At 39.0% G+C, this 16454-nt stretch overlaps 1 long non-coding RNA gene across 1 annotated transcript in view; it reads left to right on the top strand.

Moving 5' to 3' along the window:
• The window catches only part of LOC105375416 (uncharacterized), a 237202-nt gene that overhangs the window by 55015 nt on the left and 165733 nt on the right, over nucleotides 1-16454 (top strand). The window contains exon 2 of the long non-coding RNA XR_001745293.1: nucleotides 540-644. This is a non-coding gene — a long non-coding RNA (uncharacterized LOC105375416). The remainder of the gene's footprint in view (nucleotides 1-539; nucleotides 645-16454) is intronic.

Raw genomic sequence — 16454 nt, 5'->3', positions numbered from 1 at the left:
CTTCAAGCTGTTGAAGTAGAATGAAATGAACTGATTTCAAGGTATATTAATAATTAACAACCACCAGAGCCACGTAAACAATGTCAACCAGGGCCTAGATATTGTCTAGGTGGCATCTAACTATATCTGAGCCCCTTCTCCTAAGGAAAGGACAGGAATTGCTATTAATTGAGTATCCAATAAGTGCAAAACAATGTTCTTGGCACTTTTATATCTGACTCAATCCTTACAGCTTCTCTGTGAAGTGTGATGCATATTAAAGATAAAGTGAAATTTATGAGAGTTAAATTGCCCTCTCTCCTACAATTGAAAATTGGAAAATTCAATTCTTGAGATCTGTCAAAATCTATTTCAGATGTACACTATCTGATATGGTTTGGCTGTGTCCCCACCCAAATCGTATCTTGAATTATGCTCCCATAATTCCCATGTGTTGTGGGAGGGACTCGATGGGAGGTAATTTGAATCTTGGGGGCGGTTTTTCCCATAGTGTTCTCATGGTAGCAAATAAGTCTCATGAGATCTGATGTTTTTTTCAGGGGTTTCTGCTTTTGCATCTTCCTCATTTTCTCTTGCTGCCACCATGTAAGAAGTACCTTTTGCCTCTCTCCATGATTCTGCGGCCTCCCCAGTCATGTGGAACTGTAAGTCCTATTAAACTTCTTTTTCTTCCCAGTCTCAGGTACGTCTTTATCAGCAGTGTGAAAATGGACTAATACACTATCATTCTTCTTTTGTGAGTGACTTTTCCAGAAACTTCTATGTGCCTACTTCTTAACAATGGGTCCTGTTAGCACTTGTCAGACCCACTGCTTAACCCACTTAGGTAACAAAAAAAAAGCATTATACCATTTCTTCCTGAGCTTTGTATGGTCCTCCCCCTTCACAATCCAGCAAAGAATCCCAAGTGTTGCCACAGAGGGTAACTACAATGCTTACAATGCCGGTTTTTATTTTGGGTTTTAATTACATAGTTCCGACTTGTATATCAAGGAATGCTTACTCTTCTGGTGGGGTTTGTACCTACTTTAAGTTGAATTGATATAAATAGATCTAGTTGCGGGAGGCTTCTTACTCCTGCCTAAAGATAGACTACCTACTTTTGTATAGAAATGAACATAAATCATCCATATGAGAATAAGAGATCAGAGCTCGACAGTAGGACAAAGAAGTGGGTCAGTCAGATGAAGTGTGTCCTTCTCTAACCCAAGAGGAGAGAGAAACTGATTAGGGCTTGTCAGGTTATCCTGGAAGCCTGGAGGAGTGAGCAGCAGGAGGGTAGTGGCCAAGAGAGGCAGGGAGAGACAACTGAAACGCCTAGGAGGCATATAATTGGCAGTCTAGATCCAGCCATGGAGAAGGGTTTTTGACACAGGACTCCCAGTGCTGAAAGGACTGGTCATGATTAAAACTGAAAAACCATAAAGAGGACAATAATTATAACAGCTAATGACTGTTGCACACCTACTGTGTGCCAGGAATATAGGGTTGTACATCCATATCCTCTGGGGGCTTTACAAGTGCTTACGTGGCCTCTATGATCTTTCTTCCATGCTACATAGTCTCATGACCAAAGGTTTACCCTTCTTCCCACTGCAAGTTCCTCTCTACCTTCTTTCATTTGAGTAGCCACTGAGCCCTCTCATTCTCCATCCCTTGAGGCTTAGACTTATCTGGTTTCTGGGAAGAACATCTAAGAATCTTCATCTGGCTGATAGGTCAGGAATTCTTCAAACTTGATTTCTGCTTTCACATGACCAGGAGGAAGAAAATCAGCATTCTTGGTACCATGAGAGAGATTGGGGAGACAGATGGGGTAGAGAGATAAATATACTATGGAAAAAAATGGAAACTTCAGCATATAATACAGCAACAGAGATTATTGTCCATTTCTTGAAACTGGAATGTGAACTCAAGAGCAGACACTTTTCCTCACATGCTCACAACTCCAGTGCTAGCATAGGCAACTAATAAATATTTGTTCAATAAATAAATGAGGTATATGAAAATTTGAACAGGTAAGAAAATAAAGATGAGAGTTCTCTCTGGCCATTTGTTGTGCTTAACTTCCTGGGCTACTTTCATGTATATTTTTGCTCAAAATCATAGGCATGGGAGGGAGGGACTATTAAGCGTCTTTGCTTGATATAGTTTTATCCCACAACAGAACCTCCTACACTTATCCAAAGACATAAAGGATGAAGATAAGACCTGTGAGATATCAGATTTCTTATACCTCCATTTCTTTAGATGTGTTCTCACAAACCAGCAGAGGCCACATAATATCTTTTGTATTGAACTGAAGCAAATTATTTGAAACGTAAATTCAAGGATTTTTCTAGTTTTCTTTTTCTTTTTCTTTCTTTTTTTTTTTTGACAGAGTCTCGCTCTGTTGCCCAGGCTGGAGTGCAGTGGCACGATCTCAGCTCACTGCCAGCTCCGCCTCGCGGGTTCACGCCATTCTCCTGCCTCAGCCTCCCGACTAGCTGGGTCTACAGGCGCCCGCCACCACGCCCAGCTAATTTTTTGTATTTTTAGTAGAGACGGGGTTTCACCGTGTTAGCCAGGATGGTCTCCATCTCCTACCTCGTGATCTGCCTGCCTCGGCCTCCCAAAGTGCTGGGATTACAGGTGTGAGCCACCGCGCCCAACCTAGCACACATCTTTACGAAGGTCTTTTTTCTTCCACTTCATATATTACATGACTGGTAGTATACCAGCCACCTTAGTAAGTACACTTTCCTTGAACACTAAGCAAAGGACTCTTCAGTAACAGCCAAAAACTTGCTCTTTTGTGTGCTAGGCTCTATTCTCTATTTTAAGTACTTTACATATATAGCTCATTTAATTTTCCCAGCACACTATGATCCTTGTTTTGTGGATGACAACACGGGATGGGAAAGGTTAAACAACTTGCCAAGATCCAGTAAGCTGGCAAGTTGGGAAACTGAAATTCCAAATCAGTTGTCTGGATACAGAATCTGTGCTCTGATTTTACAAGCAAAGCTCACAAGATCTTGTCCAAAGATCTTCACATCTTTTGTTGAGCTTAATGAACCCGGGAGGCGGAGCTTGCAGTGAGCCAAGATCGCACCACTGCACTCCAGCCTGGGTGACAGAGTGAGACTCCGTCTCAAAAAAAAAAAAAAAAAAAAAAAAAAAAAAAAAAAAAAAAAAAAAGTGTGCTAGTGCTCAGCTAGTTATTTTATATGCATTATCTCATTTAATCTTCACATCATTTCAATTTACAAAACAAGAGCCAAGACAACACAATCTTAGGTTAAATACGTTTGTTAAATTCCCATTTCTAGGAAATGACAGAGCCAGATTTTAAACCTGGATTTGTCAGATTCTAAGGCCTATCTTGTTCGAGTGGTTTAAGTGCAGAACTACTTAGAGAAACAAAGTTTAGAGCATGTTCAACTTAGGGTTCTGTGCTAAAAATGTTAAAGTGGCTGTAGAACACGTAATTTAGGTTCCTAAAATAAGTGGATTATCTCTCTGGAGAAAAGACTAATTTCAAACCTTGTAGGAGATTGTAAAATCTTACCAATTTTCACTGAGGCAGATAAAGACATTAAAATATGGACTTAAAAATACAATTTTGGTTTTAAAGACATTTTTAGAATTAGGATGAGTACTGGTTTAGGGGTCTAGAATCATATCAATTATGATTTACCTTTAAATAGCTTGCTGTATGTATTTGTGCCTACAGTGAAAAACAAAAACCGAAACCTGATTTTTTGAGTCTAGTGGGCGTGTACCAGAAGATAAGGTCACTATTACCCGTGATCTTGGTGTGTATTTCCTGGTTTCAATGTGCCATCTTCTCTGCTACATTTCACTCATGTGAGAGTCTTAGATGTGGGATGTGTTTTAATGTGTAGGCATATGTGTATGCATGGGTATGTAAGTTTTTTCTCTCTTGTGCCTAAATCTGTATTAATATCACTATCTTTCTCTCTTAACTTTCACTTTGTTTCTCATAGTCCTTTCTTTTTTGGATTACAATAATAGATCTGGAGTCTATTTTTCATATACCTGATAAAGTTATATATTCTCCTTTCTTAACCTATGGAAAAAATAATTGATATTTCTCTTTAAAAGACTGACTCATGTGGCCTTATGTTGATTTTTTTCTTAATAGCATAAAGGGTTCCCATCTCAATTTAAATAGGAATTAAATAAATTTGATAAATCATATAAAGTAGCAGAATTTAAAGTATGATCTATCTACCTAAAATAAAGGTTATAGCTTATCTTTTAAGCTGTAAAGATGGGAAATTGCCCTTGTGGAGAGTACAGGCTATTTAAATATTCTAGGGCAGATATTGGAATTGATTCTTGCAGAAAACGCTCATTGTTAAGCTGTTCTAGTTATGCAGACATGAGGAAGTATCTACCCATTGTTCTTGAGAATTAACCTAAAAGGAGATGCTTCAGACTGGCATTCAGCATTCTGTGTAGTAATGAAGTTGAGTTAATAGTGAAAATGGGCCCATGTAGACTCAGAAATTGCCCTGTGCCTGAAATACACTCTATGTTCTTGGAAAATGTGAATGAGTTTTGTTCAAGTATTTTCCCTCAAGAGGTCTAGGAGATGGGATAGACAGTTCTTATCTTCTTTTTCATTCATGCTATGGAAAATACTGTGAAAAAGAGTGAACTGGGTTGTCACAGCACTACCTACATTCGGCTGTTGGTGTCCCTTCTCATTTAAGGTTGGATGAGCCACAATATGGGCCATGACCCTTTGTGTTAGACATGGGATGAGATTACACCTTATTTTTGAGTTAATATTTTCCCTGGAAGAGAATGGATATTCCCAATGTCAATCAGCCTAGAACAGGAAATAAGATGAGCCTTAGGAATAAAGGAGCTCCCCTTATCTTTGGCAGAGGAGGCAGTCAGGCAGGCCTAGACTCTTGGGTGAAGAAATACCTAACTCTTCTTTTCGGTGAGAAGGGAGTTGACAGCTCTACCACACAGAGGCCTGCCAGGAAACAGCAGGGACACTCATGGTCTCTTAGAGACTTCCAGCAGCCGTCTGTTAAGTTTCTCTAGTCTCTGAGCTTTCAGTAAGTTCTTTTTAACAGTATGGTTTAGTCTCAGTTGTGTGTGGGAATTGAGGGAATTGAAACTATTTTTGGTAGTATCAGGGGAAGACAATGGCCAAGAAGTGAGATGATGACACAGGGGTCATCTGCCCCAGAAAAGATGGCCTGACAGCAAGAAGAGAAATCAGAGCATAGGAAAAATGAGGAATTTTAAGGCAATGACCTGGGAAACTTCTGGAAATCAGTGGGTGAAGAGATGAACTGAAAGAGGCTAATCCCTGCCGGAAAGTCAATGAGGGTTTGTGCCAAGATGGTTTGCATATACAAAGGAAACTTAACCTCATTTGGGAGTCACAGGCTTAGCAGATCAGTAATATACAAGGTTTATAAGAAAATGATTACAAATTCTTGCTAAACTAAGGGCTCAGAGAAATATAAATTAACATAAACAGAAAATTTCAGCTCATTCAGTAAAATGAGTTATATTAATGTGTTATTTAATGAGAAGCAGTAGATTATTTTTGTTTGAGGGCTGCCACCCTTTTCTGACAAATTATTTTAATGTTGTAATTATTTGATTTGATTAATCAGCCAGTCAGCAAAGCAAATATTTTCCACCTAAATTAAATGTGTTGGCAGAATGATTTTTTTAACACATTTGATATAAGTCTAGTTTATATTTTTATGAATAAATGTATTAGAATCATGTTATCTTGTCTCTGGGTCAGAATTCTGCCCCGGAGGCTTCTGTTTTGTGCCAAAAAAATTGACAAGGTCTTTCTGAATGTTGACTAGGAGGAGAAAAAAACCTTTAAAACTTCAAAACTAGGTGAAACTCATGTGATTCAGTAAAAATGTAATTTAAAAATCACTGAAAAAATATCTGTGTTTGAGTTCCTGGCTCTGCCACTAAATGTGGAAGCTGATCAATTATCTGATTCCTCTGAGTCTCAGCTTCTGTCTGTAACCCCACAGGATCATATAGAAAATTCAGTGATAAAATAAATGTACATGGGAAATGCTATAAAGTTAAGGTAGTACATAAAATCTGTCATGTTTTCTTCCAGTTCTTAGATTCCAGTGGGAAAATACAGAGGCAGGGGGCATAAAGGAAATAAATTAGAGCATGAAGGAAAGAAATCCAAGCAAAGTTCAAACTAAAATGTTTGAGGTTTTTTGTTTTTTTGTTTTTTTTTTTTTTGAGAGAGTTTCGCTCTTGTTGCCCAGGCTGGAGTGCAGTGGCACAATCTCAGCTCACTGCAACCTCCACCTCCTGGGTTCAAGCTATTCTCCTGCCTCAGCCTCCGGACTAGCTGGGACTATAGGCATGTGCCACCACACCCAGCTAATTTTGTATTTTTAGTAGAGGTGGGGTTTCTCCATGTTGATCAGGCTGGTCTCCAACTCTCGACCTCAGGTGATCCACCCACCTGGGCCTCCCAAAGCGCTGGGGTTACAGGTGTGAACTACCACACGTGGCTAAAATGTTTGAATTTTAAAATTATTTTTAATCTTACTGATTTTTGAGCTTCTTAAGTAGTTTGTTGAATCAAAATTTTCAATCCTGGCTGTGATTCAGAATAATATCATACAAAATTCAGAACCCCGAGCCCTACCTGTCACTGGAGATGTTGGTTCAAAAGCTCAGGAATGGGTTTTTAAATTTTATTATTCAGTTTATTCCTACCAATGTTATGGAGCCTGACTGTCTGAAATTTTGAGACTCCAAAGCTGGCTGCTGGGAATTGCTGAGCAAACTTTACTATGTCAATAAACTTCTTTGGATCAATGTAGGGCAGTTTTGTACGTTTCAAACTTGGGTACAGTTGAGGATATCCTGGGAAGTTGTGGTTAACAGGATAAACTAAAAAGTTTCTAGTCAGGCATTAGATTCTCATAAGGAGCATGCAACCTAGATCCCTCAAATGTGCAGTTCACAATAGGGTTTGCGCTCCTATGGGAATCTAATTCCACCACTGATGTGACAGAAGGCGGAGCTCCAGCAGTAATGCTTGCTTGCCCGCCACTCACCACCTGCTATGTGGCCCAGTTCTTAACAGGCCACAGACCGGGACCACTTCATGGCCCAGGGGTTGGGGACCCCTGGTTTGGCACCGGCAGATGGTGCTATTCTTGTGATAGTGAGTTCTCCTGAGACCTGGTTGCTCAAAAGTGTGTGGCACCTTCCCCCTCCTCGGTCCTGCTCCTGCCATGTAAGATGCCTGATCTCCCTTTGCCTTCCGCCATAAGTAAAAAGCTCCCTGAGGCCTCCCCGGAAGCAGATGCTGCCATGCTTCCTGCACAGCCTGCAGAACTGTGAGCCAATTAAACCTCTTTTCTTTATAAATTACCTGGTCTCAGGTATTTTTTTTTTATAGCAGTGTGAGAACAGAATAATACAACTTTCAACCTATAATTCTCTGGATGACATTAGCACTGTTTCATCTGAATAAGTATTTGAGGGAAAATAGTTCTGCTTCATAAAGTAGAAGAAAGGAACTAATGTTTATTGGCTGGCTGTTCTGTGCCAGGCACTGTGCTTGGCATTGAACTAGGGACTTATACTGGTTATCTCATATACTTCACATCAGAATTCCATGAAGAAGCCATTAATATTACTATTTTACAGATGCAAAAATTGAGGCTTCAGTAAATGAATAACTGGTAAGAGCATACAATTAATAATGGTGGAACAGGGACTTTGACTCAAATCTGTCTAGCCCAGAATTTCATGATCTACATATCATCCTATACTGCCTTTCCTTGTATCCAGCACTTGAGGTAGAACAAGTGTTTGGTGCTGTAGGGACTATTAATATCTCTCATTCTGATAGTGATCTTATATTTATTATCATTGCATGGAAGTTACAGGCATAATGAATGGGCTGAATTTCACTGACACTAGTTGCAACAGATGCATTTTGCACCTATATCCCATTTCAGCCCACCTCTGGTTTCAGTGGCAGCCATGGTAGATGGTTCTGAGCTCCGTCTGCTAGCATTTGCACTGGAGTCACTCCCCTTTTCTTCCTCAGGGCTTTCTCCAAAGCTACAGGAGGTTGCTGAGCTTGAGCACACAGCCAACTGGTTGGACAACCTTCAACCAGTGAAGGACAAGAGTCAGAGGATAAACGTCTCTGCCTCCTGTCCTTCAGAGGGACAATTCTAAGGTGCTTCCACATGCCTTTTTCAAAGGCCCCAGTGGGATTGAGTCCCAGGGATCCAGCTCAACAATGCACCTAGTGGTTCTCCTTCCTTGTCTTACTACCTCTCACTCTAGTGGGGTTTTTTTTTGTTTGTTTGTTTTTGTTTTCCAGTTCTAAAGGCATTGTATTTTTTCATTTATTTGAGCAATAGACTCTTTGGTCTGAACTGATGTGCATCACCGTTTCCTGTTTGGGGTAAGGGAGAGACAGAAGGCAAAGAAAGAGAGCAGGGTGATATGAACTGAGAACAAGAGCTCCAGAGAGCCTCTTTCTCTTCTACCTTGCTTCCAATCCCATGGGTCACAAGCAGAGAGATCAGCAGCATGATTGAAATGGTTTCTAAGTACATGAGAGAGACTGTCACTCTGTAAATACTCTAAAATACTTGAGGAAGGGAAATTTCACAAGTGCCTGTGTGTATTAGGTGAATCCTGTGCTGTATTAAAAAATGTGCGTATTGATGCAGACGTAACCTCATATGCCAGTGAAATCTGGAAGTGTTTTTGTGCCAATCTAGTTCTCAATATCTTACTCACTGTCTCCATTGGCTTGCATAATTTGCATGCATTAGGAATATCATAGCAAAATAGAGAGTATTCATTTGTAGGAAATTCCAACCAGAAAAACACCACTGGATGAATTTGGCTTTGTTTCCTAATCTATGGCATAAGGAAAAATTGTTAGCTTTTATGTGATTTTGGCCAGAAATGAAGTAAATAAAGAAATCAGGACAAAGATGACATGCTAGGAAAACATGTCACCTTAAGAAAAGTTTAGAGTAGCTATTACTTGAATATTTTTACACTTACAATATATGAACTTCACATATGAAACTTAAGAGTGCACTCTCTATTACAGAAGTGGGTGGAAATTAGGTGACTCTAGAAAGGTAGGCGAACGAATGTATGGCTTGATGCAGATATGAATGTGGATATAGCCCTTTACAAAGTGCTGTTATATAATTTCACATTCCATTTTTATACAACTTATGAAATCTTAATTTTCCTATTTTACAGGTGAAGTTCAAGGGAGTTAAATAAAATCTTTGAGATAACCCAGCTAGTAAGTGAGAGAGATGGACCATCTCTGTCTCAAATCCCTGTGTCCTTTCTCCTTCATCCCATTGCCTTCACCTGGTCAGTTCCTGAAATCCACCAGGACATAGACCTGGTGCCCACTTTGCCTTATGACCTGCCTCATTTCTCAGAGACCAGGGATTGGCCATGGCATCTACAATAAGGAAGAAAAACAAATGGGTCCCTTAATCGCTGCAGTTGCACACTGACCAAAGGATATTTGGCAAATATTTCTTGACTGATTTCACATAGAAAATTTCACTAGTGTCACTGCAGGCCAGTGTGTGTGGATCAATGCTACAAACTTAGATTCAATTAAGATAATTTATCTAGAGCCTCAATGGAACTATAAAGCCTAGAAACTTCTATGAGTGTAATCTGAAAAAGCTCTTACTTTGAACATTTTGAATAGACTTTGATGTTCATTCATTTTTCATGCACATATACATAATCCCAGTTTTATGTAAAAAGATGAATCTTTTAAAAGAGGCATATCGAATTGAGTTTTAAAGCATCAAACCTGGACTCTCAAATTTTAGGATAAAAATCTTTCAAAGTGAAGACTGCATTGACTATTCTGGCTTTCAAATGTATATATACACACACATATATTTATATATACATACAAATGCATATGTATATACACATAGAAATTCTTTTTATTGCTAAAGAGATTCTCTTATTGCTGTTTGCTTCATATTTAAAAATTATCTTCACTCCATACAAAATTATGTTCTTTGTTATATATGGTTTATCTCAAAGAGATTTAGAGAATAAGCAATGAGAAGAACTGGGAGTAATTATAGAAAATGTGCTTAGGCATGTGGATAAATTAAAGTATTCCGTCACAGGCTGGGCACAGTGGCTCACGCCTGTGATCCCAGCAATTTGGGAGTCTGAGGCGGGTGGATCACTTGAGGTCAGGAGTTTGAGACCAGCCTGGCCAACATGGTGAAACCCCACCTCTGCTAAAAAGACAAAAATTAGCCGGCCGTGGTGGTGCATTTCTGTAATCCTAGCCACTTGGGAGGCTGAGGCAGGAGAATCCCTTGAACTTGGGAGGCAGAGGTTGCAGTGAGCAGAGATAGCGCCACTGCACTCCAGCCTGGGTGACAGAGTGAGTTTAGACTCCATCCATCTAAAAAAAAAAAAAAAGATAAAAATAAAGTATTCAGTCACAGGGTCACTTGTGAAGGAAAGAAATGAAAAGATACAAGTAAAAAGATATTTCATTATTGAGTTTTAAAGAGAAGTCAGGAGGAAGGAATACAAGAGTTGTCAGAGAGACTGTAGAAGTTTAGACAAGAATTAAGGTGCATTTTGCAGAGATGCTAGGTACATCAGATTGTAAATAACACATCAGGCAGATTAGGCCAAGAGTAGAGAGTAGGTGGGGTGGGGAAGCCATCATCAAATTGTATTCATGGTGTGGTATGGCAATGATATTTAAAGCCAGATGAGATCACCTGGAAGTTCATATACATGGAGAACAGTAGATATTCCATATCAGAAACTAGGGTATTTCGGAGCACTGAAGGAGATGGATGCAGCAAACAAGAAGTTAGAAGGGGAGGAGAGCAAGCAAAGAAGAGAAACATATGAGGGTGGAAATCACTCATATCAAACGCTGCTGGGAGGGCAAGTAAGATGATAACCAGGAATGAGCCATAGAGTTGGCGACATGGAGGTGGTGGTGACCCAGTGCAAGAGAAGGTAGAGATGGGAAGGGAAGTCCGGAAGTGAAGACAGGAAGTCAAATATTTCTAGCTATTTTGCTATAAAGGAGAAAAAAAAGAACAAAATCATGTGGGGCCAGAGGTGGTTTCTTTTTCAAGATAGAAGCTTTTTTACCGCATTTATTTAGTGGATGGTGAGGACCTATTAGAGAAGAATAATGTAGAGTCCTAGAAAGAGCTAACAACTTCTAAGAGGATTCTAGCAGAAAACTTGACCAGCACTCCCCCTGATGGCCAGCAGATGAACAAATCCCAGCTTCTTACCCCAATCCACCACCCTCCCCAATCTGGTTTTCCCTGCTCACAAATATATAATTATCCAGACAAGTATGTAGGTACTAGGAATAATATGACTGAAATTCAGTGATGTACAGACTACACATCAGGGAAAGGACATATCAGGGAAAAACAAAAGAATCAAATGGGATAACTTCTGTAACATATAGTTCTCAAAGATTCCCAGACCAGCAGCATCAACAACACCTATGAACTTGTTAGAAATGCAAATTCTCAGGCCCCAACTCAAACCTACTGGATGAGAAGCCTGGAGGTGGGGCTCAGCAATCTATTTAACAAGCTCTTCCAATGATTCTGATGCACTTTCAAGTTTGCTACTGATTTCAAATAAGTATTTGAGGGAAACTTTAAGTTTTATGCAAACTTTGTGGAGCCAGAGTTTCATTCAATTTCACATTGTCCATCTGTTATTGAGCCATTTTTCTGGTGTTTCAATGATTTCTTTAAATTTTTTTAAGTGTTTAATTATTTTCGATATATCATATTTACACATATTTATGGTGTACATGAGATATTTTGATACAAGCATATAATGCATAATGATCAAATCAGGGTAATTGAAGTATCTGTCACCTCAACACTTATTTCTTTGTGTTAGGAACATTCCAATTTCACTCTTTTAGTTATTTTGAAATACATAAGAAATTATTAACTATAGTCACCTTACTGTGCTACAGAACACTAAATCTTACTCCTTTTAAAATCTAACTGTATTTTTGTACCCATTAACCATCTACTCTTTACCCCAACCTCCCGGCTCCCCTTCTCATGGTACCCCTCTGGTACCATCATTCTGCTCTCCATCTCCATGAGTTCAATTGTTTTTTAGCTCTTACATATTAGTGAGAGCATGCAATATTTATCTTTCCGTGTCTAGCTTATTTCACTTAACACAGTGTCTTTTAGTTATATCCATGTTGTTGCAAATAACAGGATTTCATTCTTTTTATGGATGATTAATGTATGTATGTACCACATTTTCTTTATCAATTCACTGATGGACATTGTATTAGTCCATTTCATACTGCTATTAAAAATACTACCTGAGACTGGGTAATTTAAAAAGGAAAGAGGTTTAATTGACTCACAGTTCTGCAGGCTTAACAGGAAGCATGGCTAGGAGGCCTCAGGAAACTTACAATCATGGTGGAAAGCAAAGGGGAATCAAGTATGTCTTAATGGCAGAAGGTGAGAGAGAGCAGGGGAAACTGCCTCTTATAACACTATGGGATCTCATGAGAACTCACTTTCATGAGAACAGCATGGTGAAAACCGCCCCCATGATCCAATCACCTCCCACCAGGTCTTTCCCTCAACACATGTGGATTACAATTTGGATTACAATTGTTGATGAGATTTGGGTGGGGACACATCTAAACCATATCAGACATTTAGGTTGATTCCTTATTTAGGCTACTGTGAATAGTGCTGCAATATACATGATAGTGAAGACATCTCTTTGATATACTGATTTCCTTTCTTTTAGATATATACCCAGTAGTGAGATTGCTAGCCCATATGGTAGTTCTATTTTTAGTTTTTTGGACTGTTCTCCCTAGCAATTGTACTAATTTACATTCACACCAATAGTGTACAAGGTCTCCCCTTTCTCTACATCCTCGCCAGTATTTGTTATTGTCTGTCTTTTGCATAAAAGCCATTTTAACTGGGGTGAGATGCTATCTCATTGTAGTTTTAATTTGCATTTCTCTGATTAGTGATGATGAGCATTTTTTCATATACCTGTTGGCCATTTGTATGTCTTCTTTTGAGAAATGTCTATTCAGATCTTTTGCCCATTTTAAAAACAGATTATTTTTTTCCTAAGTTATTTGTACTTTTTATATATTCTTGTTATTAATCTCATGCCAGATGGGTAGCTTGCAAATGTTTTCTTGCATTCTATAGATTGCCTCTTCACTTTGTTGTTTCCTTTGCTGTGCATATTTTTTTTTTAGCTTCATCTAATCTCATTTGTCCATTTTTGCATTGGTTGACTATGCTTTTGAGATCTTATTCAAGAAATCTTTGCCAAGACCAATATCCTACAGTGTTTTTCCAATGCTCCTCTAGTAGTTTCACAGTTTCAGGTCATAGGTTTAAGTCTTTAATCCATTTTTATTTTGTTTTTGTAAATGGCCAGAGATAGGGTCTAGTTTCTTTCTTTGGCATATAGAGATCCAGTTTTCCCAGCACTATTTATAGAAGAGAGTGTCTTTTCCACAATGTATGTTTTTTGGTACTTTTGTCAAGGATGAGTTCACTGTAAATGTACAGATTTATTTCTGATGTACAGATTTATTTCTCAATACAAATGTAAAGATTTATTTCTCAATATAAATTTTTTATTAAGCAGTTTTAAGCCTACTTTCCTCAAGTATTTTATACCATACTCAGTATAAGGACAAAAATAGTTTGTGTTTTTGTAGTAAATTTCTTTCTATAAGATAATTGTCACTTTTTGTCCTTTTAGTTTCCATGATTCTAGGTCTGAGGCAGAGAAAATAGGTGAGCTTGGAAAAATTTGTGCCAGGAAGCAAGAAAGTAACCAAAGTCTAACATGATATTATGAAAAGGACACAGCAGTTGGCTTGAAGGGGCCAGCTCTGGCCAAACTAGAGACAAGCATCAGAGTAATGACAACAATTAAATCACATTCAGGGGGAAAAAACTATTACATATGTGTGTGTAAATATACATATATACATGCATATGTGTGTATATGTATGTATACACATGTGTGTATATCCATATAGCCATATGGCATTATAGCCATATGGATATACACACATATACATACAGCTATATATATATATGTATGGCATTTATAGCCATATGGATATACACACACATATACATACAGATATATATATAGCTATATGTGTATATGTGCATATATACATATATATATGTCCGTAGCAATATTGAAGGCCGAGGAAAGAATACTCTTCTTAACAGAATATCAGCTAATAAATAGAAGAAAAGTTAGAGTAGAATATTACAATTTTGTGTCCAATTATATCAATAAATATAGCAAGGATCATTAATGACTTCTAAAACAATTGAGTCAAATATTAGGAGAGAAGACATTCACAGGGTCCCAAATTATTGCCACACAGAATACTTATTAATTAGAGACATAAAAAAGTTCTTTTACAAAGGAGCAATCTGGTGGATACTACCTTGTGTGAGCAAATGAACACTTGGAGGTACACCATTGCTGGCAAATTCTACTTTCTTATGCAGATATTTACTGAACATCTGCAATGAGTGAGCAAGAGACTTTGAGACTTTGAGATACAACGCCACAGTGGGAATTCAGATTTGATGGAGGCTTTTCTGAGAAAGTAGCAATCGTAAAGCACAGAGAGAGAGAAACCTTCTTCGCAAAGGCTGTGGAGGTGGTGGGATCTGAGACAAGGTATACCCGTTAGATACAAAAATGCATGCAAAGACTCTGGGGCAGGAGGGTGTATGATTCATTGGAAGAATTGAAAGAACCAAAGTGCCTAAAATATACAAGTATTAGTTTTCTATTTCTGCTATAACAAATTACCACAAACTTTGCATCATAAACACACTTTTACTATCTTACAGTTCTGTAGGTCAGAAGTCCAGTACAGATTTCACCAGGATACCATTACGTTGCCTAGGGCTGCATTTCCTTATGGCAGCTCTAGGGGAGAATCTGTTTCCTGCTCATCGAGTGGTTGGCATAATTCAATTCCTTGCAGTTTCAGGACTGAGATCCCCCTTTTCAAGTGTATAGTCCACTGAGGACTGTTCCCAGTTCTGGAGGTCACTTCATTTCTTAATTCATGATTCCCATCCTCATTTTCAAAGCCAGCAATAAAGAAGGAGTCCTTCTCAAATTGTATCTCTCTCTGACAGACGGGAAAGGTTCTCTGCTTTGAGAAACTCGGGTAATTATACTGGACCCACCCTGATGATCCAGGACTATCTCCCCTTCAGAAGGCCCTTGACCTTACCCGCATCTGCAAAGGTAACATATTCACAGGTTCTGAAAACTAGCGCACAGATGCCTTGGGGGGTCATTATTCTGTCTAGCACAAAAGGAGATAATGAGGATAGCTCAAGATGGAATACTTTCACTTGTCTGATGGTTCTAGTTAGGTTGCTCGTTTTATTTATTTATTTTTTATTTTTTTGAGACGGAGTTTCGCTCTGTCGCCCAGGCTGGAGTGCAGTGTCGCGATCTCGGCTCACTGCAAGCTCCGCCCCCCGGGTTCGCGCCATTCTCCTGCCTCAGCCTCCCGAGTAGCTGGGACTACAGGCGCCTGCCACCATACCCGGCTAATTTTTTGTATTTTTTAGTAGAGACGGGGTTTTACCATGTTAGCCAGGATGGTCTCGATCTCCTGACCTCGTGATCCAGCTGCCTTGGCCTCCCAAAGTGCTGGGCTTACAGGCATGAGCCACCGCGCCCGGCCTGGTTGCTCGTTTTAAATCAAGAAACCTTCAGTGACTCACTATTACCTAAATAATTAAATTCAAACACATTTGCTTGTTTTGCAGACTTTACATGATCTAGGCAAAATCCTGATGTATGTTTTTTATACACCCGTTTTCCTGCCACCTTGGGCTATCTATTCTGGATTCTCTGGTAAAGATTCCCATAATTTCTTGCCTTCACACTTTTTCTCAGGCTGTCCTTTCTCTTTGGAATGTCCTTTTCTCCGTCTCTTGATGTTTCATCCCTTCTTTGAGGTTCATCTCCTCCATACTCAAACTTACCCAGCATGAGCACATGCACACACACACACACACACACACAAATACACACACCCAGCCCTTTATAGTATTCTGTGACAATGACGTTCTGCATTGCATGGCAGTGAATACATTTTCTTATTGTCCTATTACATTACCCAGCTTCTTAAGGGTGAGGGCCGTGATGGGGATGGGAGTACTTGTTGGTTTTTTGCCTTCTTTCTGATTGCTTAATGCTATTGTCATACTAGAGGCTAAATATTTTTATATCATCCCTGGCAGTGACTACTTCTCATTTATCTTTGTAACCTCCACAGAGCACATAAATATGCCCCACCCACCCCCACACAC

Source organism: Homo sapiens, chromosome 7 (genome assembly GCF_000001405.40).
Source record: "Homo sapiens chromosome 7, GRCh38.p14 Primary Assembly".
In the NCBI taxonomy this organism is placed as follows: domain Eukaryota; kingdom Metazoa; phylum Chordata; class Mammalia; order Primates; family Hominidae; genus Homo; species Homo sapiens.
This window is presented reverse-complemented; position numbering and strand designations above follow the sequence as displayed.